Genomic DNA, 27,081 nt, shown 5'->3' on the forward strand with positions numbered 1-27,081 from the left:
GTAGAGCCATCAGCAACTTGCAACCTCAGCATGGAAAAGTTGCTGGCACTCAACTCCAACCTGTGAAAGCAGCCAAGTGGGCTGCACCCTTCAAAGCCACAGAGGCAGAGCTGCCTAAGGCCTTAGGAGCCCACTTCTTACACTGCTGGCCCTGGGTGTGGGACAAGGAGTCATAGGAGATTATTGTGGAGTTTTAAGATTTAATGACTGCCCTACTGGGTTTCAGACTTCAGTGAGGCCTACTGCCCCTTTCTTTTGGCAGATTTCTCTCTTTTGAATGGGAATGTTTACCCAATGCCTGTACCACCATTGTATCTTGAAAGTAGATCAACTGTTTTGATTTTACAGGCTCATAGGTGGAAAGAGATAGGTGTAAGATGAGACTTAGGACTTTGGACTTGATGTTGAAATAAGTTAACACTTTGGGGGACTATTGGGAAGAAATGATTGTATTTTCCAATGTAAGAAGAACATGAGATTTAGGGGGCCAGGGGCAGAATGATATAGTTCGGATGTTTGTCCCCTCCGAATCTCATGTTAATATGGAATTACCAATGTTGAAAGTAGGGTCCAGTGGGAGGTGACCTGATCATGGGGGCAGATCCCTCATGAATGCCTCAGCACCATCCCCTTGGTAATAAGTGAGTTCATGCTCAGTTAGTTCACATGAGATCCGGTTGTGGTTGTTTAAAAGAGTCCAGAGCCTCCTCCTCCTCTCTCTTGCTCCCTCTCTTGCCATGTGATGTACCTGCTCCCACTTCACCTTCCACCATGAGTAAAAGCTCCCTGAGGCTTCACCAGAAGCCAAGCACATGCCAGTGCCATCCTTCTTTCCTGTACAGCCTGCAGAACTGTGAGCCCATTAAACCTCTCTTGAATTAGCAGCATGACGTTCATGCTGGGGACTGGTGACAACAACTTCCTCTTCTAGTGGTTTATAAATAATCTGTCTGATCTAGAATTTGCATTAAACCTATTTATGCACACATGTTCTTTCAGCACCTTTCAAAGTTCCTAGATCATTGAAATAATTCTGTGGTTCTACACTCAAACTCTCCCAGGATTTTACGCCAGGAGACATAAGCACTTGGGTACCATTTGCATCTTCACCCATCTTGCGAAAGTTCATCCTCTTTCAGTCTGAAGATTAGTATTATTAATAGAGTACAAAATAAGAGCTTTCCCTGTCATAAATCAATGTTACACCTGGTACCAGGCTAGGCCTAGGCAGCAGCCCAGTACTTCCTAGTTCCAAGGGCAACTTTGGAAGTTTTTTTGTTTTTATTTTTTTAATCTGTACCATTTTTCAAAGGTTCCACTCATTTGGGGCTTTAACCTTTTTGAAATTAACTATGTATAACCTTCTTGTTTTATATTAAAACTAATAATTATAAACTCAGAGAAATACTACCTGTACAACCATTCTTTATTTGCTAGCCTGATTTTCTTTTTCTTTTTTAGCTTCCTTCCAACATGCAAGCTTGCCTGATTTTCTGTAACTCCTCACAAAAGATCATTTGGATTAGATGTTCTTAATTGTATTTTTGACAGTTTCACAAACTTCCTGGGTCAATATGCTTTCCAAACTGTCCAGTAACAGCACCTATCTTTTTTGTTCCTTGGAACTTTCAATATCTGCTTTCTTAAAATTCTAGGTTCTATGTATGACAGGATCCCTCTCAACTCTCCTGAGCTCCAGCAATAAACAACTTGATATGACTGCTTTTTATGATGGTTCATTTCATTGCTACTTGGTTAATAATTTGTCTTTAATATTCAGAATTAAGTAAAGTTCTCAAGTTTAGGATAAATTAAAACTTTAAGAAAGGAAGTCAATAAACTGTACTTAGATTTCACTAAGCATTTCAGCCAGTATCTCTATTGCCACTTCCTGTTTTCCCATTTACACCAGGTACACAGCCACCATTTCTTCCACCCACTTAACGTGGCCTGTAACAAAAGAACACAATCATGTTATCTTTGTTCCTCTTTCCAATTGTGTTCTCTGGGATTTTTTCCTGGGGTTTCATGGATTCCCCTTCAGATGTATACCTTCTTAACATTCAGAGCCCACTGCCTCACCTCCTGGCAGGTCTTTCCTTTTCAATAGGTCTGCAGCTTTTCAACACTAGATTCCAATCTTGGGTCTCATCTTACCCAACTCCAGTGACACCTAAAACACACATTAATCCTTTTTTGTTAAAAGACCTGGCTCATTTTATTATCCATGTTCTACACATTTGCAGAGAGACATCTGAGGGACTAAGTATCATTTCTAGTTCCTGTACCAGTTGTTTTCTCCTATAAATTACTGGCCCTTCTTCCCTCCCAGAAAGAGTTCTCATGAATTTAAACAATTTCACTATTTCATCTGGCCTTTTTAGCCCTTCCCCTCAGTAATTAGGTTAAAGCTTTCTATCACTCAGCTGGACTCTAGAAAATTACATTCTCCCTGACTATGTGAGATGCAGTGACTTCCAGCCAAGATGGTTCAGATATCAAAATCCCTTTCACTGACACCATCCATAAAGCCAGTCAATTCTATTTTCAAGTCCCAGCAATTTATGAGAAGAAATGGTAAAAATGTCATCTATGCTCTCAAAGTCCTCCAGTTTCCTCATCAAGTGTCATACTGCAGGGCAGGAGGCTTCCCTCAGCCTTTTTATATGTACTATCAAGAAGTTAAAGAAGGAAGTTCAGTTGGAAGGAACAAACAAATAAAAAATCAAGATGAATGCTGAATTACTGTTATCTAGCGCAGCGCTTCACAAAGGTTAGTGTGCACACAATCAACTGGGGATCTTGTTAAAATGCACATTCCAAGGCAGCAGCTTCAGGGTGAGGCCTGAGAATGTGCATTTCTAACAAGCTCCAGGCACACATGCGCTGCTGGCCTGTGGACAACACTTTGACTAACAAGATTCTGATATCTACATAAAACAGGCTTCATTCATTCCTGAATCAGTCTAAACTTCAAGGATACCATAAAAATAAGCACTGGCCAGTAGCCCACAACCTAGTATTTAAAATAGAAGCAGTATGGTACAGTGGAAAAGAGGTTGGACTTGGATCAGAGAACATTTGTTCTAGCCTTAGTTCAGCTTGGCTCCAAATTTTCCAAAACTTTTAGCTTTAGGAAGCTCAAGCAGGATAGATGAAGAAAAAAAAATCTATATCTAGACAGCAAAAAACTACAGAGAGGAGATCTTAAAAGCAGTCAGAGAAAAGAGAGATTACCTACAAAGAACAATTAGACTTAACAATATTGGTTTGTTGCAGGCTGGTCTCCCAGAAGAGAAGGTGGCCTCCTGCAAAGTTTCAGGGAAAACTGCTATGATTGTGTTTAAGGCAATCAAACCTCATCAACCACAAGGCTTGAACCCTGGTCCCCTGACCATGCCAGGAAAAAGGCTGGTGTTTCCCCAATCAAGAACAAACTCTGCCACATTATACAGACTTAGCCCCAATCAAGCCAGCAAGGAGGTAAGGATATCCTGCAGCCACACATGCTGAGCTGGGATGAGTGAGCCAAGGTTCCATCACAGTATGGTCCTACTGTACTCTGGCCCCTGGTCACTCCCTGGAGTGCTGGTTTCTCCTGAAGTCTGAAGTTGGCCCAGCCAGGTAGCTGAACGTTACCCCAGGGGGACAAGGCACAACTATCACTGACCTTTCTCTGTGAGGTACCCCCCCAACACCCCAGAGCACTCCAGCAAGTCTGATGCATATTCCCTGGCCCTTTGCCTTTGTTTGGATAATCTTCAAAATGCTGAGAATTAAACATCTAGCAAAACGGATTTTCAAAGCAAAAGGAAAATAAGGATATGTTCAGACAGACAAAAACAGAGGTGGTTTATCATCATCCAACCCTGATCAGAGGAACTTCTAAAGGATATTCTTCAGGAAAGAGAAAATAATTCCGTAACGAGGATATGACATGTAAGAAGGAATATTGAACAAAAACAATGGTAAATATGCATGTAAAACTACAGAAGCATTAACCAGGCAATTAGTAATGTACAATCTGTAGGTTTAAAATAGAGATAAAAAATACCGGACAATAACAGACTATAACTGAGGATGGGGGCACAGCAGTTAAGTGTTCCAAGGTTCTTACACTGGTAGAGAGGAGAGTAAAGATAATGATTAGCTTCAGATCTTAAATTTAATATGCTTATGTTTTAAGGATAAGCATTAGAAAAACAAATAAAATATATAACTTCCATACTCTTTGGGGAAAAATGAAAGGGAGCAAGGGGGCCTTATTTAATCCAAAGGAAGAAGGGAAGGAAGGCAAAATAAAAGAACAAAACTAAAAAATAAAAGTGAATTCAGATATATTTGTAATAATAAATGTAAACAGACTAAACTAATTCATTAAGATAAAAATTATCAAAATGAATCATTTAAAAAAAGTCCAAGTATAAGCTATTTATAAGAAACAGGCCTAAAGCCTTAGGACACAGAATAGTGAAAAGTAAAACAATGGAAAATCCCATACAAAGCAAATAACCAGAAGAAAACTGATATAGCTATATTAATATCAGACAAAATAGAAAAAAAATTACTAGAAGTAAAGAGGTCATTATATATTGATAAAAAATTCAACTCACCAAGAAGATAACAATTCTAAGTTACTTACTGAATACAAGTTAAAAAAAATAACAAAAAGATAATTTTCAAAATCTATGAGTTGGACATTTTAAGACACAATTCTAAATATCTGATGGTTAAAAGATGAAATGACAATGGTATTTAGAAGAAAAATAGCACTGAATTCCTTAAATGACCATTCCTATTTTATATCACACTAAAAAAATTTTTAATGAATATTATATAGCTTACATACTCAAAATCCATTTATGGATAGATTCCTGTGACTTCTCAATGGTAGACACTTTGGAAGAGGTTAATTTGAGATAAAAGGAAAGTAAGTGGGTAGGCTAGTAATACATTTTGGGTAAAGTCAATATAGAGTCTAAATTAACCAAGAAATTTGCAACATTTATTTCCTCTCCCGCTGTTTTTCATGTGAGAAAAAAAAACCCTATTTCTTTAAGTCACAGTCGGATAGATTTCTTGGGACCTATCGGCATTCCTGACGAATTAAGTCCTGACTTTATCTCCACTGATCTCCAGTTTCAACACCTGGTATATCCCACAAACAGATCTGAAAAGACTGGGATGATAAGCCTTAGAAATGAAAGATTAAACCGAAGTACCACAATCACTTTGCCCTCTTGCCAAGTGCTTTTTATAAAATAAATATAGACACAATTGATTAAACAAACATATTGAGTAAAAGAAAGTTGGGCCGGGCGTGGTGGCTCACCTGAGATCGGGAGTTCGAGACCAGCCTGACCAACATGGAGAAACCCCATCTCTACTAAAAACACAAAATCAGCCAGGCATGGTGGCGCATGCCTGTAATCTCAGCTACTTGGGAGGCTGAGGCAGGAGAATCGCTTGAACCCAGGAGGCGGAGTTTGCGGTGAGCCAAGATCATGCCATTGCACTCCAGCCTGGGCAACAAAAGGGAAACTCCTTCTCAAAAAAGAAAAAAAGAAAGAAAGTTAATACTAGCATAATCAAGAATATTATACACTCATGGAATGTCTGAAACAAAGTTGAAATCTCAAAGTGCCTGTTAAACTATTAATGTAATATGCAGGCACCAAATACAGAATTCAAGATCACTAATTTCCATCCTTGAGTGGAAATCTGTGGAACTTACAAAGCACAATTAAGAATTTATTCTATGACATTACAGAGATAAAACTATGACTCTTCCTCAGAAGGAAACATATCTCAACTATCTAAATTTCTTTTCTATTATGTATTTATTTATTTTTGAAACAAAGTCTCACTCTGTTGACCAGGCTGGAGTGCAATGGCACAATCTCAGCTCACTGCAACCTCTGCCTCCCAAGTTCAAGCGATTCTCTTGTCTCAGTCTCCCGAGTAGCTGGGATTACAGGTGTGTGCCACCACACCCGGCTAGTTTTTTTTTTTATTTTTAGTAGAGACAGGGTTTCACCATGTTGACCAGGCTGGTCTCGAACTCCTGACCTCAAGTGATCCACCCACCTTGGCCTCCCAAAGTTCTGGGACTACAGGCATGAGGCACCACACCTGGCCTATTTATTTTTTAAATAGAGAAAAGGTCTCCCTATGTTGCCCAGGCTGGTCTCAAACTCCTGAGTTCAAACGATCTTTGTGCCTTGGCCTCCCAAAGGGCTGGGATTACAAGTGTAAGCCATGGCACCTAGGCAAGTATCTAAACTTCTACATTACCCAAGAAATAGCTGTCATCCCAACACTCCACGGTGGATAGTAAAGCAAAAAAATTTAACAATTTGCCTACTTTAGTCTACTTCTAAATCATAAAATAGAAATGTCTTTTTTTTTTTTTTCTTTGCGATAGGGTCTCACTGTGTCACCCAGGCTGGGGTGCAGTGGTATGACCATAGCTCACTGTAACCTTGGACTCCTGGGCTCGAGTGATCTTCCCACCTTTTAATATATTTCATATTAAAATAGAAATGTCTTAAATAGAAAGTCTGTATAATATCCTCATCTACTAACCCAATGTATACACCTGCCATCCCTGACAAATCCAAGGAAGACATGTGAATTGCCTTTAACGCCTGTAATCCCAGCACTTTGGGAGGCCGAGGCGGGCGGATCACGAGGACAGGAGATCGAGACCATCCTGGCTAACACGGTGAAACTCCGTCTCTACTAAAAATACAAAAAATTAGCCGGGCGCTGTGGTGGCCGCCTGTAGTCCCAGCTACTCGGGAGGCTGAGGCAGGAGAATGGCGTGAACCCGGGAGGCGGAACTTGCAGTGGGCTGAGATCGTGCCACTGCACTCCAGCCTGGGCGAGAGTGAGACTCCGTCTCAATAAAAAAAAACAATAAAAAATAAAAAATGTTTTCAATTTACCCTCACCAACACCTGCACAGGACATTTTTAAAAAACAATAAAATCAATATGGTTCCTGCTATCTAAATCTTTTTTTTGTTTGTTTGTTTGAGATGGAGTCTCGCTCTGTCGCCCAGGCTGGAGTGCAATGGCACCATCTCGGCTCACTACAACCTCCGCCTCCCAGGTTCAAGCAATTCTCCTGCCTCAGTCTCCCAAGTAGCTGGGACCACAGGCGCACGCCACCATGCCTGGTTAATTTTTGTATTTTTATTAGAGATTGGCCAGGCTGGTCTCGAACTCCTCACCTCGTGATCTGCCTGCCTTGGCCTCCCAAAATTTGGGGATTACAGGCGTGAGCCCTGTGTCTGGCCTGCCACCTAAATCTTAACCAGGATATAAGTATACTTATTTCGAATGGCCAAGTGTCTGTTTTCTAATCCTTAAAATTACCAAAACATTTATTTATAAACATCAACAATAAATGGCACCACTTTATAGTTATTCAAACCAGAAGTCTGAGAGTAGAATTTCCATGTTTAGCAAATAAAAATATCATATGCCCAGTTACATTTGAATTTCAGATAAATAATATACTTTTAAAAATTTTAGTATAAGGGCCGGGCACGGTGGCTCACGCCTGTAATCCCAGCACTTTGGGAGGCCAAGGCGGGTGGGTGGATCACGAGGTCAGGAGATCGAGACCATCCTGGCTAACACGGTGAAACCCTGTCTCTACTAAAAATACAAAAAATTAGCCGGGCGTGGTGACAGGCGCCTGTAGTCCCAGCTACTTGGGAGGCTGAGGCAGGAGAATGGCGTGAACCCAGGAGGCGGAGCTTGCAGTGAGCCAAGATCACGCCACTGCACTCCAGCCTGGGCAACAGAGCGAGACTCTGTCTCAAAAAAATAAAAATAAAAAAAATTAGTATAAGTATATACCAAATATTGCATATACTATTGCATTTACTTATACTAAAAAAATTTTAGTATAAGTACATACCAAATATTGCATATACTATCGCAATTACTTATACTAAAAAATTATTCATTGTTTATCTGAAATTCGAACTTAACTGGGTGTGCTGTATTTTATCAGATAATCCTAGCTGGAATTCTTCCTTTATCACCTCTCACAGACAATACACCACACCAAGACCTGTCAATCACACGTCCTAAAAACATCTAGAATCCATCCACTTTCCTCCATTTATTCTGCCACCACCTTGGTTTAAACCACCAATGCAAGAATCTCCTAGTCAGTCTCTATGCTTCTGCTTTTGCAGGAATATCAAAGTACATCAACCTAACAATAAGAGAAATAAATGCTCATTTCAAGTTTCTTTTCTGGGGTCAATATTTGGTAGCTCTGGAAATCTAAAATCCCTTAATTAGCATGAGAGCCGCCAGTGAACTTACAATGAACAGGTTGAGGCCTCTCATGGGTAACCTCTGAAACAACCCCTCTTCAAGTTTTCCAAGAAAAGTAACAATTTTCCTGGGTATGCTGGAGCCAATGACGAATCCAATCCATTTGCTAATTTGTGTTTATTGATGCAAGGGGATAAACCCGGAAAAATCTGGGCAGAAATGGTAAATTTGGGGCTTAATAAAGTTGCCTTAAAATATTCCTCTGTTTCAGAATGAATTCTAAGATTTATAAAAGAGACTCCTTGATTCCAGTGCATACCTGATGTGAGACAGATTCCTGTCATTCAAATGCATATTCTATGCATTGAATGGAGTATGCCCATCAGCCCAGGTTGCAAAGCCATGGGGCAGAGCACTAAACAATTTGGGCACTCAGCAAGTTATAATTCAAATAAATATAAAACACATGGCGCCAACTTTTTCAGATGACTGATGCTCAGGAACAGTTGATGCCTCCTGACTGGATAGATAAATGTTTTGGTTGCCAAGAGCTAGAGTTCTCTCTGAACACTGCCAGCCTATCACGTTGTTGTCTAATCAATGAATTCTAACAAAGCAGCATATACATGGAAATGCAAGTACAGGTTTCAAGGTTTGTGTGACACCACGGAGCTGTATGAGCTAGCCAAATTGAACACAAATTACTTCATCGAAATAACAGCCAGAACCAAGGAAAAAACGTTTCCCTGTATATCAAAAAGGCCAATATGAGTATTGGCACGAATGACTCATATCATACAACATGATGCCAATTCAAGTGTGTCAAAGTTCTCACAATTTAAATATGAATGTTCACCCACTCAATACAGAGCACCAACAAGTCTTAATATTGTTGGTACTAAACAAAGAATCTCCACTCAAGCTCTTTCCACAAGAAAAATGCATTACAAATTCAGTCAGAAGGGCATCCCCAAGTGTGAGTTACATAGTTAGGGCTCAGTTATTTAATAAACAACCCTTTCTGTGACTAAAACCTAATCACATCACCAAAAACATTTTTGAAAGCCATATCTGAGATACGTTTTCTGTGTATCGTATCTTCTTCTCTACAGTAGAAAAATGACATTTCGTACTGTGGACACACTGGTTAGACCAACATTACAGATTAGAGAAAGATGAATGTCTGGATCAAAGGGGTCGAGTCAACCCTTATAAAACAAGTGTAGACAAATCTTGAAGTCTGCACTTGTATTCCCACGTGTAACCTGCTTTGCTGGTATTCACTGATGAGACAACGTGACAGGCTAGCAGCACTGGAAGATCTGTGGCTCTCACAATCAAAACAGTGTGTCTGTAAAATGATTCAGCCCCCCTTTCCTTTTGGCATCTGAGCTGCAGACCGAGCAAGTTGTTTCTGTCACCAAAAATGCCCTGGGAACTATACATAGAGCCGAAGTGAGCTTTCTTATGAGACTTCCCTTGGGGACAGGTCCAGCATATCTGAAAGGGAACTGCTGTGAGACCATTTTAGCTCAAGGGATCCCAAATCCTTACTGGGATGCTGGTGAGAATGAGTGCTCCGCTGCCGCACCGCGATTTCGACTGCAAAGCTTTCCAACACAAGGTCCACTGCGCGGGGAGCAAGTGTTTGGGAGGCAGGACCTTGGCTTTCCTCAGAATCAGGCCTTTCCGGCGGCCCCCCTCCCAGCCTTCCAGGGCATGGAGCTAGTCCTGTGTCTAAAGGAGTCGGCAGGAAAAAGGCGCGGCAATGCGAGTGGGTGGTCGCCGGCCTGCTCGGTGCCGCCCGGCGACCAACTCTGCGGCGCCGGCGCCGAGTGCCTGGACCCGATTAAGGGGAAGGATTAGAAAGGGGGTGCCCGCCGGGCAGCGTACTCACCCTCCCCTGCGAACGCCCGGGCTCGCGTGCCGGGATCCACGCCCGGACCCCGCGCGGCCTTCCGGGTGAGCTGCCCGCGGCCGCCGGGACCTGCACTGCCGGATAGCTCGGCATGCCTCGGCTCCGCGGTGGAATCTGGCCTGGCCCGTCATCCAGTTCCTGTCCCCGGCAGGCTCCGGCCCAGACCAGGCCCCCGGCCTCTCACCCCGACCTCAGGTTTCCGCCACAGCCCCCAGCCCAGGCCCTGGACACGCGTCCGGCCCCTGCCTCCGTGCCCGGCCCCCACGCCGCCTCCCGTCCCTCAGATCTCCGGCCGGCGTCCCCACGACCGGCCCCGACTAGGCCCCCGGCTGGGCCCTTCTTCAGCTGGGCGCGCACCTCTCCTTGGAGTAGAGCTGCAGCTGCTGCTCCTGCTGCTTCTTCCGGATAAACGCCATGGAGGGTAGGCGCGGGCGGGCGCAGAGCGCACAGGCAGGCCCCGCCGCCGCCTGCCGAGGAGGTCCGGAGGAGCCGGGGAGGGCGGGATTGGTGGCCGGCTGGGGAGCGCGCGGCTGCCGGCCTGGCTTCCCCTGCGGCGCCGCTGGGCGGCCGAGAGCCCGACGCGGCGTCCCGGCCGCGCTCACCGCAGCATCCTCGCGTGGGGACTCCGGCGGCACCGTGACTCAGGCCCGGAGGAGGGGCGCGCGGTGACACGAGGCGCCCCAAACTCAGGCCGCCTCAGAGGATCGCCAGGGCCAGCGGCCAGACCAGGATCCGACCTCACACACTAAACGTTTCACCACTTTACCAACCATTGCAGGCTGCGTTTTAAATATTTTACGCATAAAAAGGGATGCTGGCCCATAAACCACCAATCTGTTGGCCACAAAGACTTGAAATAACAACGTTTTGTGTCCTCCATTGTGAAAAAAAAAAAAAGACGGAAGTTAAAGGGGTGAAGGCAACTCAGTCGTAACTATTCCAAATACACCAGGAATAAGTGGAGATTTATAGCCAAGGAGCAAGGAGCAGGTGTTCGGAAAACTGCTAAGAGGAAACATCAATTCTGGGGGAAATTCTGGCTGAACCAACCTAACAGGAGTCCCAGTGAAGGCAGGCCAGGGGGTCAGATACTAAGGGTAGGAGTAAAGAATTTTGATCACATATGGAGGGTGGGGGATTCTTGCTAAACTGCCGTGGCAGTGTTACTTCCTAACACTGCATTTACAAGGAAGTGCACACAAGGACCTGGGAGAAGATTCAGAAGCCTAACTGAAGTTTGGCCAAGCAAAGAATCTTTAACACAGTCTCTTGATTGTTGAGATAATTGCTCGCATGATTTTTTTTTATATAACAGCTTTATTGGGATATAACTCACATACCAAACAAGTCAACCATTTAAAGTATACCATTCAGCGATTTTTAGTATATTTCCAGATATGTTCAACAATCACCACAATTTGAGAACATTTTCATCACATGTAAAAGAAACCCATACCCTCTAGCTGTCACTCTTCCTAACTCTACCCTCCAAACCCCAGCCCTAGCAAACAATAATCAATTTCCTGTCTCTATGGGTTTGCCTATTCTGGATATTTCATATAAATGGAGCCATACAATATGTGGCCTTTTGTGTCTGGCTTCTTTCATTTAGCGTAATGCTTTCAAGGTTCATCTATGTTGTAGCATGTATCTGTACAGTACTTCGTTCCTTTAGATTGCTGGAGCATATTCTGTTGCATTTTGTTTATCCATTCATCAGTTGATGGACATTTCAGTTGTTTCCACATTTTGGCTATTGTGAATAAGGCTGCTGTACACAGTCATGTACAGTTTTTTTATGGACCTATGTTTCCATTTCTGTTGAGTGGAATTGGAATCTAAGAGTGGAATTGCTGGATGTGGAGGCGAAAGCAGCTCCATCTTGGAAGCTAATCCTCCGTGTTGACTTCTGATTGACCCCAGTTCTGGGAAGGCCTCTAAGATTTCTACTTTATCTATTGTTCCTTGTGTAAGAGCAGGTATCTACCCAGTATGTTCTGTCCTTAATTCAAACAACTTGATGTTATTATACTTCAATTGTCCTACACATCCCTTCTGAACCACCCCTCCCCTATGGTATATAAGCCCTAAGGGGCTGGAGTGATGGCTCATGCCGGTAATCCCAATGCTTTTGGAAGTTGAAGCTGGAGGATTCCTTGAAGCCAGGAGTTCGAGACCAGCCTGGGCAACAAAGCAAGACCCTGTCTCTACAAAAAATAAAAAATAAAAATTACCTGGGTACAGTGGCACACACCTATAGTCCCAGCTACTGGAGAGGCTGAGGCAGGAGGATTGCTTGAAGCCAGGAGTTCGAGACCAGCCTGGGCAACAAAGCAAGACCCTGTCTCTACAAAAAATAAAAAATAAAAATTACCTGGGTGCAGTGGCACACACCTATAGTCCCAGCTACTGGAGAGGCTGAGGCAGGAGGATCACTTGAGTCCAGGAGTTTGAGGCTTCTGTGAGCCATGATCGTACCACTGCACCCCAACCTAGGCAATACAGAGAGAGAGAGACCTTATCTCAAAAGAAAAAAAAAAAAAAACATTGAGTCTGGGGGTTAATAGCACAGCAATCCACCATCTCATCTTGCTGCCCAAGACACAGATATGGACATGGCTTCTGTTCCTTAGTCGCTATTAAATGTTTCTTCCCAAGGAACTTTATTTGTCAGCCTCTTTCTTCCACCTCCCGGCATCCCAGGACTTTGAGATAGATTTGTATAGGCCTGCCCACCATGGAACTGGGTCATATGGTAACTCCATGTCTAAATGTTTGAGAGACTGCCAGACTGTTTTCCAAAGTGGCTGTACGATTTAACATGCCCACCAGCAGCGTAGAAGGGTTCCAGTTTCTCTACATCTTTACCAGTATTTATTATTACCTGACTTTTGTTTAGAGCTATTCTAGTGGTATGAGTGGTATCTCAGTGTGGTTATAACTTCTTAATATATGCTGAGAATGAGCCTCTGATTGTTTACCTTTGAGGGATTCTTGAATAACACGCCTCTAAGTTTCTTTTTCACGTTAAACAGGTAATGTGCCAAACTCGTAACAAGGTTCAAGGGCGGCACATCACACAGCTGCACATGAACACCCAATCATCACACTTATGAACTACAAAAGGATCCAAACCTCTAAATTGTATGCTTGTGGAAACATATCTCATACTGTCTTAAGGATCAGGTTTTGCAGGGTTACATTTTTAGAAGCTTCAAGGTAAATGTACATCTCAGCTTTCTCTAGTAAGTCGCAGGACTGTGAAGAGAAGGTAGGGAAACCAAGAATAAAAGTTGTGGCTGGGTCTTTTGAATTTGACCCCTAGCAGCACTGGACAAAATGCTATGTATACTGAGCACACCCATTAAAAATTTTGGGAATGAATGAAGGTGCCTGGGTACCCTTTGACTGTGACTGAGTCCCTTCCACGTGTCCAAGTGCAGTGCAGAACCTGTAACACATTAGGTCAACATTCCTGGAGGAAATTGTGATGCTGTCTGGTAGCCAAGAAATAAATACATGAGCAGGTACACAATGAAATAAGATAATAAAATTTGTCAAAAGGTACATGATAAATTTCTTTATGAGAAGTACTACAAAAGGTTCTGTGAGTTCAGAGGAGAGATTAATTTGGCTGGAATAAGGAAAAAACAACAACAAAAACCCAGAATGTAAGTTATCTTCTTGAAGTTAAACATTAGAGGAAGATTAGATGTGATCGAATAGGCAGAGACTGTTAAAGAATCTCCTTAACCCAACTCTAGCCAAATTCCTCTGAGCCCACTTCTCAACTAGGCCTCAACCTTGGCCTATAAAAACCAGACTCCCAGCACGAATAATTTAGTCCAGTCCCCATCCCCCACATTAAAAGACTTAAACAAACAAACATAATTTCTAACAGCTTGAGGCCACATCCCTAGCATAACCCAGCCCCACTTAATGTACCTGTCTGAGAAAGCTCAAAGCAATTAAAAGAATTTACTACTTATGCCCGGCACGGGTGGTTCACGCCTGTAATCCCTGCACTTTGGGAGGCCAAGGTGGGCGGATCACCTGGGGTCAGAAGTTTGAGACCAGCCTGGCCAACGTGGTGAAACACCATCTGTACTAAAAATACAAAAAAGTGGCCGGGCGTGGTGGCGGGCACCTGTAATCCCAGCTACTTGGGAGGCTGAGGCAGGAGAATCGCTTGAACCCAGGAGGTGGAGGTTGCAGTGAGCCGAGATAGCACCATTGTACTCCAGCCTGGGTGACAGAGGAAGACTCCATCTCAAAAAAAAAAAAAAAAAAGAATTTACTATTCATTCCAGCCAACATCTGACACAGGCCCCATCTGATATAGTAAAGCCAACATCTGACATAGTAAAGGGTGTACTCTGACCACCCTTTCTTAGAACATTTACCAAAAAGGGCTTACAATTGTGAATCACTCCTCTGTCCCTTTAAGATGTATATGTGTCTCCTACAACTCACAGTGTCTTTCTCAAGGACCTGAAATCTATTCCTTTGAAATGTAATCATTAGGAAGTATAGGACCTTGTCTTACAGGCTCTGTGAGAAAATAGAATCTCAACTTCAATAATGACCAGCTAGCGGACACAGCTGACCTAATCACATTTACACAGACCATTCCTTTCTAGATTTTTAATTCCCTTACTCTATTCAGCCCGATTTCCCCTTCCCTACTCCCTCATTTTCACTTCAAAAATGTCCGTCCACCTTTGCACAAATCAAAGTTGAATTCGTGCTGACTCCTGACCCCTATTGCAATAATGTATTACTGATTAAAATCTGTCCTTACCATTTGAACTAGTGTCTGATTTTGTCTATCTTTGGCAGAAAGAAGGGAAGAAACACAATCGAAGGGATTGTCTTGAACAATAACTCAGAAGAGACACGCTTCCTTTTTAACAGTTTGTGTTCGTGGAGAATTGAGAGAACTGAGACTGGAGCTCCCTCATCCTCCCCTCACCAAAGCATCCACCCTACTAGCATCTGCCCTCTTATGCTTTGTCTTCATTTCTGCTATTTTAAGGTATATTTGCTCCTATCAAAGGCCAACTTCTCCTTTCTTCCCAACAATTTAGCCTTTGCGATGACCCTTTCTTCTTTCTTTTTCTCTCTTGCTTTCTCTATTTCTCTCTCACTGTTGGATCATTTCTATTTGAATATAAATGTAGTTTTCAAAAAACTTTCCCTTTATCCTACATCTCCCTCCAACTCCCCATTCACAGAGGAACTTCTTGAAACATCTGCCTATACATGCTGCTCCATTTTCTCACCTTGTGTTTTTTTTTTGTTTTTTGTTTTTTTTTAAGTTGGAGTCTCGCTGTGTCGCCCAGGCTGGAGTGCAGTGGCGCAATCTCGGCTCACTGCAACCTCTGCCTCCCGGGTTCACACCATTCTCCTGCCTCAGCCTCCTGAGTAGCTGGGACTACAGGCGCCCGCCACCACGCCCAGCTCATCTTTTGTATTTTTAGTAGAGACAGGGTTTCACTGTGTTAGCCAGGATGGTCTCGATCTCCTGACCTCGTGATCTGCCCACCTCGGCCTCCCAAAGTGCTGGGATTACAGACATGAGCCACCGTGCCCGGCCTCACCTTGTGTTTTCTGGAGTCCATTCCAATTGGACGTCCAGGCTAGATGTGGTGGCTCACACCCATAATCCCAGCATTTTGGGAGGCTAAGGCAGGAAGATGTCTTGAGGCAGGAGGATGGCTTGAGGCAGGAGTTCAAGACCAGCCTGGGCAACATAGTGAGACTTCATCTCTACAAAAAAATTTTAAAAAATTAGCCGGGCATGGTGGTGCGTGCCTGTAGTCCCAGCTACTTGGAAGGCTGAGGTGAGAGGATAGGTTGAGTCCAGGAGTTTGAGGCTGCAGTGAACTCTAACTACACCACTGCATTCCACCTTGGGTAACACAGCAAGACCCTGCCTCCAAAAGTAATAATAATTGGACTTCTATTTCCACCACTCCACTGTAATGGTTCTTGTCAAATCACTACATTCATTGATCACTTTTCTAGCTTCATCTTTCTGAGCTACCAGCAGAATCAAATGTAGTATAACATAGCATTTAACGTATCTCCTCACTGGAGGGCTTTGCTCCCATTACTTCTGAGAGCCCACAGTTTCTTTGCTTTTCTCCTACCTTGATTCTTTCTTCTTGTCAGTCTCCTTAGTTGGTTTCTCTCCTGACTAATTTCTTAATGTTGATTCTCTGTACTCAATCTCCAGGTAATTTCAACTGGTGCCATGACAGAGGGCTGTTGAGAAAAAAATTTCTGATACAGTTTGAGCTTCCCAAATCAAAAAATTCCAAATCCAAAATACTCCAAAATCCAAAACTTTTTGGGTGCTGACATGATGCTCAATAGAAATGCTCGTTGGAGCATTTTGGATTTCAGATTTTTGGATTAGAGATGTTCAACCAGTATGTATTCTGCAAGTATTTCAACATCCAAAACAAAATTCTGAAACCCAGAATATTTCTGGTCCCAAGCATTTCAGATAAGGGATACTCACCCTGTAGTAGCACATTCTTTTCTTACCTGAAGAAAATGGGCAATCGCCATTCCCTTACACATGTTATGACTGCCTTCATGCTTTTAAGCTTCCTGTCCTCTCTGTCTAAAATGCCTTCCTACCTTTCTACCACCATTTCTTCCTGTGAAAATCCTACCTGTCCTTTAAATTCCCATTCAAAACTTATTTGAAGTCTTTTTAATGCACCCAAGTGGAATTTATCTCACATTCACTTACTCAGTACATATTTATTTCACATCAGTGTATGTCACGCATTCAGCTGGGCATTAGTGGGTAGGTGCCTTTGAGACTATGGTTGGATAGGGATGTGAACAGTGACCCCATTTTACCTTATAAGGCCTATCTCCCTCTTTGGGTTAGAATCTCCTTGGGAACAGAAACAGTGACTTGTTGGTCTTTATATCCACATTGCCACTAAATACAGTGTCTTGCACTTAGCAGTTGCCCAGTAAATGTTTGTTGAATTGAATATTGTGCTTTCTTTTGTCAGCATGTGTATCTATTTTGATTTGTTATACTGTAAATAAAAGAAAACTCAGTCAATAGTTGGAGTACATTTCCTCATCATTGGCATGGATGGCACAGATGTTAATAGAAGCCTGACTTTTCTCTTAGACTTGTAGCCTTTTGATCACAAGATCACGTTCCATCACCATGATTGTACTTAGCTTCTGAGGAGAAATAAGGAGGAAGGGCAGGGCCAGCCTTGTGTGTTTCTCTTATTAGTAAACCAAAAGCACTCCCAGAAATGCACACCAATCTTCCAGGCCAGAATTCTTGCATAGCAGCAGTGGAGACTGGGCAAACAAGTGCTTCACTCTTACAGCCTCAATATTGCCAAGCCGCCAGGCAGAAGCAGGTTGGGAATGGCTCCCGGGTCAGTCAATCTGCAACGTGTACCCCATTACTAAAATGAAAACTAGCCAGGAATACATATTGATACTTATTCTTAAGGAAGATGACACCTGAGACTATTATTTTTTTCTTTACATCGTCTTCATTAAAAGGTATTGACTATTTATTGTATGCCAGGAAATGTTCTAGGTACTAGAGACTCAGCCATAAATGATATGAAGTCCTTGCCCTTTTGGAACTTACCTTCTGGTAAGAGTGACTATTTAAAAAGTGAATAATGTAAATTTAGGTAAGGATAAGTATCACAAGAAAAACTGAACCACAGTAAGGAATAGAGCATGAAGAGGGTGAGAACTTCTTTAGATAGGGGGTCAGAGAAGTCTCCTCTGATCACTGATATTTCAGCTGACAACTAAATGAATTAAGAAACTTGAATGTGCAGATCCTGAGAAAAGGCATTCCAGGTAGAAGGAATAGCAAGGTCAACAGCCTGAGCCAGCACTTTAGTGTCTAGAGCACACTAACGGTGAGAGATAGAGGCAGCAGGGCCCAGACCACAGGACAAAGGTGAGCACTGGATTTTTTCTTATTATTTTTATTAATGTGTGACACAGGCCACTGGAGGGGTAAGAGCAGGAAAATGACATGATATGTTTTACATTTTAAAGTTTGACCACTGCGTTACAAGCCTGAAAGAAGCTCAAAACTTACATGGACAGCAGGAAAATTTAGATAGAACTGTGATCAGCTCTTTCCTCTTGCACATTTTGCTTAAATAACAAAGGGAATTGTATGAGTCTGGGTTCTCCAGAGAAACAGAACTAATAGGAGTTTATATATAGGAGTCTGGAATGTATATATCCAAGTCTGAGCCCAAGAACCTGAAAACCAGGAGAGCCCGTTGTATAATCTCCAGTCTCATCCCAAGCCCAGAGGCAGAAGAACAATGCCCCAGCTCAAAGACAGTCAGGCAAAGAGAGATTATTCTCTCTTACTCCACTTTTGTGTCCTATTCAGGCCTCCAATAGATTGTTTGAGGCCTCTCTACATTGGGAGGGCTGTATGCCTTACTCAGTCCACCAACTCAAAAGGAACCTCCCCCACAGACATACCCACAATAATGTTTAACCAAACATCTGACCCCATGGACCAGTCAAGTTGACACACAAAATTAGCCATCACAGGAATTTGTAGCTCAGGTACCTGGAAATCCGAAGTATCGTATACATCAATGTTCGTTAATCCAGTGGCTCAATAAGTTCATCAGAGACACAGTTTTTCATCATCTTTCTGTTAGGCCTTCCGCATAGTTAGCTGCCTTCTAAGTCTGGTTCCCTTCCCCTATGGCTGGTAATAGGTAGCTTCTGGTATTTGGCCAGCTGCCTACTTTCTCCCTCAGGGTGAGAGACCTCATCCAGCCCAGGCTGGCTAGCAAGTATCTAGAGACTCCCTTGATTGTCCCTATTAGTTCACATGACTTCCCCAAATCCAAGACTGATGAGGGAAATGAAACATTCTCTGAGACTCTGGGCCATCTCTAGAATTGGAGGTAGAAGTTAGCATTCCCCAAAGTACATGAGTTAAGTAAGAAAGGGGTGGAAAGACAAATGAAAATGCGTGTGTGAGTAGGAGCAGGTCCTGGGGCAGTAATGAGATTTGAGACATTTAAGTCACAGCAGACATTGCGTGTAATCACTTATGTTTTCTCATTTTGGCAATGCCGGTGCAAGCCTCCTCTTCTCCCTTTCATAGTTATCTGGGCATGTGAGTTAGTGTTGAAATTAATGGAGGAATAAGACCTCACATTTTTTTAAGAGGATTTTTTTAGATGATTTTTCCCATGCAGTTAATACTGTTTCTGAGGTTCTGTTTTTTATGTCCAGTGGGAAAAAATTAAATAGGAGCTGTATATGCCCATATTGGCATCAATTTTTCCTCCATGGGTTCTATACAGCTTCCAGAGGGCATCTGTTATCTGTCACCTGCACAGTTTATCTTCCTTGCTTGGGTAAAGATTAGGGTAATTGCTGAAGTCATCCCTCATTTAAGATCTTCTCCCTTGTACTTTATAAATCCAGCAATGTTTTTACTCTGCATGTTGCTAATCGGAGATTAGTATAGATTAGGTTAGAAGATAAACAGGAAATTATAAATAAAACCATAATTTTAAGATATACATACATTGTATGCCCTAAAATACAGAAATGTCAACTTCATAAAAAGTAAGTGAAAATTACAACAAAATGAGATACTATTTTCAGATATCGATGTGACAAATATCAGTACTGTCAATGGTCGTGTCCAGTGCTGAAGTGCTTAAACACTATTGATGGAAGTAAAATTGGTAAATTTCTCTAGTGTAAACTGGTAAATGTTTAGTAACCAGCAAGTTGGAAGAAAACAGGCTGATTTGGAGTGTTTGCCAATTTCTGTCGTGTAAAATACCCCCACTATGGCCAATTTCATGTTACCAACGTGAAATCACTGAATGCAGAGCTGGGAAGAGATGTATACAGGTGAACTGGCTCTTCTGGAAGGCAATTTAAATATATCACAGGATTCAACAAAATTTGTTTTTGTTTTGTTTTTGTTTTTTGACACAAGGTCTCTCTCTGTTGCCCAGGCTAGAGTGCAGTGGCATGATCTCAACTCATTGCAACCTCTGCCTCCCGGGCTGAAGCAATTCTTTGACCTCAGCCTTCTGGGTAGCTGGGAGTACAGGTAAGCACCACCACACCCAGCTAAAAAAAAAAAAAAAACAAAAAAAACTTGTACAGACAGAGTCTTTCTACATTGCCCAGGCTGGTCTCTTGGATTCCTGGGCTCAAGTGATCCTCCTGCCTTGGCCTGTCAAAGTGCTGAGATTACAGGCGTGAGCCACAGTGTCTGTCCCAGTTTTATGTTTAATCAGTTAAAAACCAACAGTAGGGCTGGGCGCGGTGGCTTATGCCTGTATTCATACCACTTTGGGAGGCCGAGGGGGTCAGATCACTAGGTCAAGAGTTCGAAACCAGCCTGGCCAACATGATGAAACCCTGTCTCCACTAAGAATACAAAAATGTGCTGGGTGTGTTGGTGTGTGCCCGTAATCCCAGCTTCTTGGGAGGTTGAGGCAGGAGAATTGCTTTAACCTGGGAGGCAGAGGTTGCAGTAAGCCAAAATCGTGTCACTGCACTCCAGCCTGGGCAACAGAACGTTTCATTTCCCTCATCAGTCTTGGATTTGGGGAAGTCATGTGAACTAAGAGAGACAATCAAGGGAACCTCTAGATACCTGCTACCTAGTCTCGGTTAAAAAAACAAAAACAAACAACCAACAGTAATCCAGTTTCTACTAAGAGGTCAATGGTTAAGTAAATTGTTATCTATTCAGTAAAATAATATGTGGTCATTTAAAATCCTGTTTCTAAAGAAGATTTAATTACTTAGGGAAATGACTACAATGAATTTGTGAAATATTTGGAAATGATATATTTTATATTATCTCAACATATCTTAAGTGTACTAAAAATTTAGCAAGTGTTTATAGCAGTTATTTCTGAATACAGAGATTATGTTTTCTTCTTTATACTCCTACGTATTTCCCAAAGAATATAGAAGTGCCCCTTATTCACAGTTTCACTTTCTGCAGTTTCAGTTACCTGCAGTCAACAGCAGGCCAAAAATATTAAATGGAAAATTTCAGAAATAAACAATTCATGCATTTTAAATTGCTAGGTGTTCTGAGTAGCATGATGAAATTGCATGCTCTCTGTTGCTGTCTGGCTCTGTCCCACCGGGGATGTGAGTCCTCCCTTTGTCCAGCATCTCCATGCCACAGATGTTCCCTGCCCTTTACACACTTAGTAGCCACCTCAGTTATCAGATGGAAAAACATAGTGTGTATAGGGTTCGGTACTATCTGAGGTTTCTGGCAGCCACTGGGGACCTCAGAAGGTATTCCTCACACATATGGGGAGACTTCTGTATAAGTTTTCCCTCAGTGTTTTGGGGATATTCCAGGACTTGCCTATACTCTCTGTGCAAATACCAAATTCTCAGATGCTCAAGTCCTTTATAGTCGGCCTCTGTATCTGTGGGTTCTTCATCCATGGATTCAATCAACCGTGTCTCTAAGGGTGGACTGTACTACTTTCGTAATTGAAAACCAAATCACATTTATTACCCATTTTCTTATGCAAAAATTGGTGTATAAACAGCATTTTTGGAGGGCACATCCTAAAGGATTCTCTTTTTCCATTTTTCTCTGGTCAATTTCTGGACTAGGAGAACACTGAATGTGTGTTCCTTTAAATTTTCTACTTCATGATTTGCAAGAAACCACTGTCAAGGAGCCACCGTTGGCCCAGGATCATTTCCCCAGCCCAGGCCTGCCTCCTGCCTCTCCAATTTCTCTTTTGCTATGGTCTTGAGAACTCAGCTTGGTTTGGTTTCCTTTGTGACTCTCAGCACACACTCTACCCGTTGGGATTTGTTTTTCCTTAAGCTTGGCCACTCCAGAAAACAAAGCTTTCAGCTCTTTTCTTCACTTATTTTCCCCCAAACACATTGATATTGCCTTTTTTCTTTCAAGGGCTGTTTTCCCACAGTACTGGTCCTGGGACACTACTGCTAATGCCACCAGTACCACTGGTTATCATTTGCTAAGTACTACTTTTAAAGTATTTTTTGTATGTTAACTTGTTTAGTCATCATAACCATTCTATGACGCAGGCACAATCATCCCCGTTTTGTATATGAGGAAACTGAAGCATGAGATCACACATCTGGAAAGTCGAGGAGCAGGGATTGGAATCTCTCAGTTTAGACCCAAAGCCCGGTCACGTAACTACTAGATCACATTGCCTCGAGAGAAAGAAAAGAAACTTTTAATGTGAGGAATGGAAGCCTCCTTTAAACGACCAGACCCAGGCAGGGCACGGTGGCTCATGCCTGTAATGCTAGCATTTTGGGAGGCCGAGGTGGGAGGGTCTCCTGAACACAGGAGTTTGAGACCAGCCTGGACAACAAGCATAGTGAGAGCTCGTCTCTACAAAATAGTAAAAAAATACCTAGGCGTGGTGGAGGACACCTGTGGTCCCAGCTCATCAGGAGGTAAGGTGGGAGGAAAACTTGAGCCTAGTGAAGGGGTGGGTTGCCCCTCCACACCTGTGGGCATTTCTCTTCAGGTGGAATGAGAGACTTGGAAAAGAAAGAGACACAGAGACAAAGTACAGACAAAGAAAAATGGGCCCAGGGGACCGGTGTTCAGCATACGGAGGACCCGCTCCGCACCGGCCTGAGTTCCCTTAGTATTTATGGATCACTATCGAGCGTTTCCCGGAGAGGGGGATGTGGCAGGACAATAGGGTAATAGTGGAGAGAAGGTCAGCAGGAAAACATGTGAACAAATGTCTCTGCATCATAAACAAGGTAAAGAAAAAAGTGCTGTGCTTTTGATGTGCATATACATAAACATCTCAATGCCTTAAAGAGCAGTATTGCTGCCAGCATGTCTCACCTCCAGCCCTAAGGCGGTTTTCCCCTATCTCAGTAGATGGGATATACAACTGGGCTTTACACCGAGATATTCCATTGCCCAGGGAAGAGCAGGAGACAGATGCCTTCCTCTTATCTCAACTGCCAAGAGGCGTTCCTTCCTCTTTTACTAATCCTCCTCAGCACAGACCCTTTACGGGTGTCGGGCTGGGGGACGGTCAGGTCTTTCCCTTCCCACGAGGCAATATTTCAGACTATCACATGGGGAGAAACCTTGTACAATACCTGGCTTTCCTAGGCAGAGGTCCCTGCGGCCTTCCGCAGTGTATTGTGTCTCTGGATACTTGAGATTAGGGAGTGGTGATGACTCTTAACAAGACTGCTGCCTTCAAGCATTTGTTTAACAAAGCATCCTGCGCAGCCCTTAATCCATTTAACCCTGAGTTGACACAGCACATGTTTCAGGGAGCACAGGGTTGGGGGTAGGGTTACAGATTAACAGCATCTCAAAGCAGAATTTTTCTCAGTATAGAACAAAATGGAGTCTCTTATGTCTACTTCTTTCTACACAGACACAGTAACAATCTGATCTCTCTTTCTTTTCCCCACACCTAGGACATTGAGGCTTAAGTGAGCAGTGATCACACAACTGCACTCCAGCCTGGGTGACAGAGTAAGACCCTGTCTCAAAAAAAAAAAAAAAAAAGAAAAAGAAAAAAAAAACGGACCCAGCGGGGTGTTGGAATGAGACTGCAGTCATATTCCACCCATCCTCTCACCCCCTTGAGCTAAGTAATCATTTTGAAGTTGCTTGTCATATGGCCTCTAGACTGGCTGATGCCTCCAGTAGCTATAAATTAGCCTAATAATGCCATATGCTGGACACCATAATTCATACCTAATAGCTCAACAGTGTATAGCCAATTACTAACAATGTCATTTTTGTAAGCTAATGAGGATTCCTGACAAACCACTTTTATACTTTCATCATCACTCCCTCTCCCAATTCATCATTTTTTTCTTTAGCAGCTCCAGTCTCTCCTTTGTTCTCCAGAGCACTTCCCAAGGTAACTTAGAAGTATTTTCTGGGCTGCAGTCCTTAACTTTAGGCCAAATAAACCCTCTACCTATAGTAATTTTGGCTCAATTTCTTTCTTTAGGCCAACACTCCTAAAAATCACAAATGAAGCTGAATGGGCATTCACTTTCTGCTTTCATCTTCTTGGGGATAAGAACTATAAAATCCTTGGCCGGGCGCGGTGGCTCACACCTGTAATCCCAGCACTTTGGGAGGCTGAGACGGGTGGATCACGAAGTCAGGAGATCGAGACCATCCGGGCTAATATGGGGAAACCCCGTCTCTACTGAAAATACAAAAAAATTAGCCGGGCGTAGTGGTGGGCGCCTGTCGTCCCAGCTACTCAGGAGGCTGAGGCAGGAAAATGGCGTGAACCCAGGAGGTGGAGCTTACAGTGAGCCGAGATTGTGCCACTGCACTCCAGCCTCGGCGACAGAGCGAGACTTCATCTCAAAAAAAAAAAGAACTATAAAATCCTTTTCTCATTCCTCATCTGATCCTACCTTTAATGAAGGCCATATGGCTGCTTTTATTCCTTATAGTCCTTCCTTACAACATAAAGATATGAATAAGCTGAGCCAATAGAACAACCAAACCCCTGTAGGTCAAGTGGAAAATGTATCTTTGATCATTTTTAAACACGGTATTACCACGTTCGTTAGGCTTTAGTCGTATGAAAGAGTAATCCTCTCTTGGTATTTTCTTGCAGTACTCAAGACATCTGTTGGGCTCATCACCATAATATTATTGTGGCTCACGTGTGAGTTGGGGCCCTCTGCTCTAGTGCATTGTCTTGTAGACAAAGTTGGCTCTAAGCCTCATGGAATTCAAAGTCCTTTCCAAAATGGGCCTCATTTCTCTCAGGGTTTCTATCTTCATGGCTTCCTCTGTCTCCCAAGGTCTGGTTCTTTACTCTGGTCTTTGTTTTCACCATGTGAGGCCCCTTTCCTGGCTGACCTCCCTCCCAGCCCCACGGTATTAGTGTTTACTGGATAGCCGTGAGTCCAGGGAGGAGTAACGTCTGTACAAACTGCTTTGTAAAAAATTCCACATGAATTCTTCTCTCAGCCTACTACTTAGGATCTTAAGTCTACCACTGATGATTCCTCATGCTGCTCATCCATAAAGAATCCAGTCTCACATCTTCCCATTTTCTCCCTCTCTCCTTTCTCCTCTTTTCTTACCTCCCCGTCTTTCCCTCTCTAGAGCAACAGTTCTCAAACTTCAGTGTGCACCAGAATCACCCAGCTTGTTTAAAACAAGATTTCTCAGCCCACCCATAGTTTGTGATTGAGTGGGACTGAAGTAGGAACTGAGAATCTGCATGTTTTCAATTTTTAAAAGTGCTTTAGAGACAAAGTCTTATTATATTGCCCAGGCTGGAGTAGAGCAGCTATTTGCAGGCACAATCATAGCTCACCATGGCACTATTCCTGGGCTCAAGTGATCCTCCCACCTCAGTCTCTAGAGTGGATGGGACTATAAGCACCCCTGACTGTCCCCAGAAAGAATCTGCATTTCTGCTAAGCTCCCAGGTATTGCTGATGCTGATCTTGAGACCACTCTTTAAGAAATACTACTTTAGAACAACACATTTCTTCCCAGGTCTCCAAGACAGCAGTTCCATCTGCTTCTCTTTGGTTCACATTTTATTGCAAACACTTATTAACACATTTTTCCAACAAATATAATTCATTTCCTAAGAGGAATGGTGGTGCCAGGTTTAAAGAAATATGCTATTTTTGCCACTGTTACCTCATCTTCATAATTGTCAATATTATTACCCTCTGAATTTATTATGTGATTACTCTGTAGCATACACTGAGCTCTGTAATTTGCATTCATTTTTCTCCTTCAATCTTGTTGGGAGAAAATTCTCCATGAATCTACATTTTTCCATGTCTAAGCATCAATAGTCAATTTGTGCAGATTTATTTACATTCCAGTTTAGTAAAGGTAGACAGCGCCTCTGTCTATCTGTCCTCTCTCTCTTTCCATTCCTGGGTAGTAAAGATAAAAACCTCACCCTCCCCTCCCAGGGAAGATTTGCTAACATCCCAGAATAACAAATATAATTTCTGTTTCTGAAGGGCAGGAGGGACAGGTTTGCCAGCCCGCATATAATGCCAGGGGGGTCCTAAGCTTGGCATTCTTCAGGAGTGCTCCAAACCGCTGTGTGTGCAACACCCACCTGGGTGTCTTTATCACCCCCATGTACCTGACAGGCAAGGGAAGCTGGTGCTTGGATGAAGCTCACAATGTCTGCCCTGTCGTGAGTAATAAACTGTCTAAATCCATTTGGGTTCATTGTGTCCTTACCAGTTAAATTCAAGGATATTTGGAAGCCAGACTAACAGTTGTCACCAGCTGCTCCTCAGGAACTGCTTGACTTCTTAGCAAATCTTTAAGATCACTTGGTGAGATTGTTCTATTATATCCAATCTTCAGAAGAGGACAAGTTGGGCTTTGTGCAGTTTATTTTTTTTATTTTTTATTTTTTTAATGTTAACCATATATTAAAATATTTTAATAATGCAATTAACATATTCATAATTTAGTATGCAAGGTACATTACGGTAATTTCTATACCAGATGTCTGGTAATTCTTTATTTATTTATTTATTTATTTATTTATTTATTTTTTTATTGATCATTCTTGGGTGTTTCTCGCAGAGGGGGATTTGGCAGGGTCACAGGACAATAGTGGAGGGAAGGTCAGCAGATAAACAAGTGAACAAAGGTCTCCGGTTTTCCTAGGCAGAGGACCCTGCGGCCTTCCGCAGTGTTTGTGTCCCTGGGTACTTGAGATTAGGGAGTGGTGATGACTCTTAACGAGCATGCTGCCTTCAAGCGTCTGTTTAACAAAGCATATCTTGCACCGCCCTTAATCCATTCAACCCTGAGTGGAC

At 42.8% G+C, this 27,081-nt stretch overlaps 1 protein-coding gene and 1 non-coding gene across 28 annotated transcripts in view, besides 10 other annotated features; both read right to left on the reverse strand.

Annotated features, from left to right (window-relative positions):
* NSMAF (neutral sphingomyelinase activation associated factor) overlaps positions 1-10,853 on the reverse strand; it is a 76,350-nt gene extending 65,497 nt beyond the window's left edge. For 24 of the 27 annotated variants that reach the window (NR_182088.1, NR_182085.1, NR_182087.1 and 21 more), the window contains exon 1: positions 10,573-10,853. Coding sequence is in view for 12 of the 27 variants with exons in the window: in NM_001412988.1 (NP_001399917.1) it covers positions 10,573-10,631 (59 nt within the window). In the remaining 15 variants the exon portion in view is untranslated. Of the gene's footprint in view, positions 1-2,082; positions 2,174-9,851 lie in introns of all 27 variants that reach the window. The other 3 variants (NM_001412999.1, NM_001144772.1, NM_001412997.1) reach the window with 3 other exon arrangements.
* Positions 2,206-2,930: an enhancer, noted in NCBI's record as "H3K27ac-H3K4me1 hESC enhancer chr8:59563765-59564489 (GRCh37/hg19 assembly coordinates)". NCBI's record gives its function as "activates a minimal SCP1, AML or CMV promoter by ChIP-STARR-seq in primed H9 embryonic stem cells {active_cell/tissue: H9 hESC(primed)}" and the evidence as "EXISTENCE:reporter gene assay evidence [ECO:0000049][PMID:30033119]".
* Positions 9,293-9,856: an enhancer, noted in NCBI's record as "H3K27ac hESC enhancer chr8:59570852-59571415 (GRCh37/hg19 assembly coordinates)". NCBI's record gives its function as "activates a minimal SCP1, AML or CMV promoter by ChIP-STARR-seq in naive H9 embryonic stem cells {active_cell/tissue: H9 hESC(naive)}" and the evidence as "EXISTENCE:reporter gene assay evidence [ECO:0000049][PMID:30033119]".
* Positions 9,391-9,680: an enhancer, noted in NCBI's record as "active region_27413". NCBI's record gives its function as "activates an Ori minimal core promoter by ATAC-STARR-seq in GM12878 lymphoblastoid cells {active_cell/tissue: GM12878}" and the evidence as "EXISTENCE:reporter gene assay evidence [ECO:0000049][PMID:35858748]".
* Positions 9,857-10,419: an enhancer, noted in NCBI's record as "H3K27ac hESC enhancer chr8:59571416-59571978 (GRCh37/hg19 assembly coordinates)". NCBI's record gives its function as "activates a minimal SCP1, AML or CMV promoter by ChIP-STARR-seq in naive H9 embryonic stem cells {active_cell/tissue: H9 hESC(naive)}" and the evidence as "EXISTENCE:reporter gene assay evidence [ECO:0000049][PMID:30033119]".
* Positions 9,857-10,580: a biological region, named in NCBI's record as "H3K27ac hESC enhancer GRCh37_chr8:59571416-59571978".
* Positions 10,131-10,580: a silencer, noted in NCBI's record as "silent region_19218". NCBI's record gives its function as "represses an Ori minimal core promoter by ATAC-STARR-seq in GM12878 lymphoblastoid cells {active_cell/tissue: GM12878}" and the evidence as "EXISTENCE:reporter gene assay evidence [ECO:0000049][PMID:35858748]".
* Positions 10,591-10,930: a silencer, noted in NCBI's record as "silent region_19219". NCBI's record gives its function as "represses an Ori minimal core promoter by ATAC-STARR-seq in GM12878 lymphoblastoid cells {active_cell/tissue: GM12878}" and the evidence as "EXISTENCE:reporter gene assay evidence [ECO:0000049][PMID:35858748]".
* LOC124902083 (small nucleolar RNA U13) lies at positions 13,241-13,344 on the reverse strand. The gene has a single exon (XR_007061214.1). It is a non-coding gene; the product is annotated as a small nucleolar RNA U13 (small nucleolar RNA).
* Positions 20,258-20,945: an enhancer, noted in NCBI's record as "H3K27ac hESC enhancer chr8:59581817-59582504 (GRCh37/hg19 assembly coordinates)". NCBI's record gives its function as "activates a minimal SCP1, AML or CMV promoter by ChIP-STARR-seq in naive H9 embryonic stem cells {active_cell/tissue: H9 hESC(naive)}" and the evidence as "EXISTENCE:reporter gene assay evidence [ECO:0000049][PMID:30033119]".
* Positions 23,008-23,695: an enhancer, noted in NCBI's record as "NANOG-H3K27ac hESC enhancer chr8:59584567-59585254 (GRCh37/hg19 assembly coordinates)". NCBI's record gives its function as "activates a minimal SCP1, AML or CMV promoter by ChIP-STARR-seq in naive H9 embryonic stem cells {active_cell/tissue: H9 hESC(naive)}" and the evidence as "EXISTENCE:reporter gene assay evidence [ECO:0000049][PMID:30033119]".
* Positions 23,151-23,359: a silencer, noted in NCBI's record as "fragment chr8:59584710-59584918 (GRCh37/hg19 assembly coordinates)". NCBI's record gives its function as "represses an EF-1alpha promoter that drives an FKBP-Casp9 reporter gene in an ReSE screen in K562 erythroleukemia cells {active_cell/tissue: K562}" and the evidence as "EXISTENCE:reporter gene assay evidence [ECO:0000049][PMID:32094911]".

The sequence above is a fragment of the Homo sapiens genome, chromosome 8 (assembly GCF_000001405.40).
Source record: "Homo sapiens chromosome 8, GRCh38.p14 Primary Assembly".
Taxonomy (NCBI): Eukaryota; Metazoa; Chordata; class Mammalia; order Primates; family Hominidae; genus Homo; species Homo sapiens.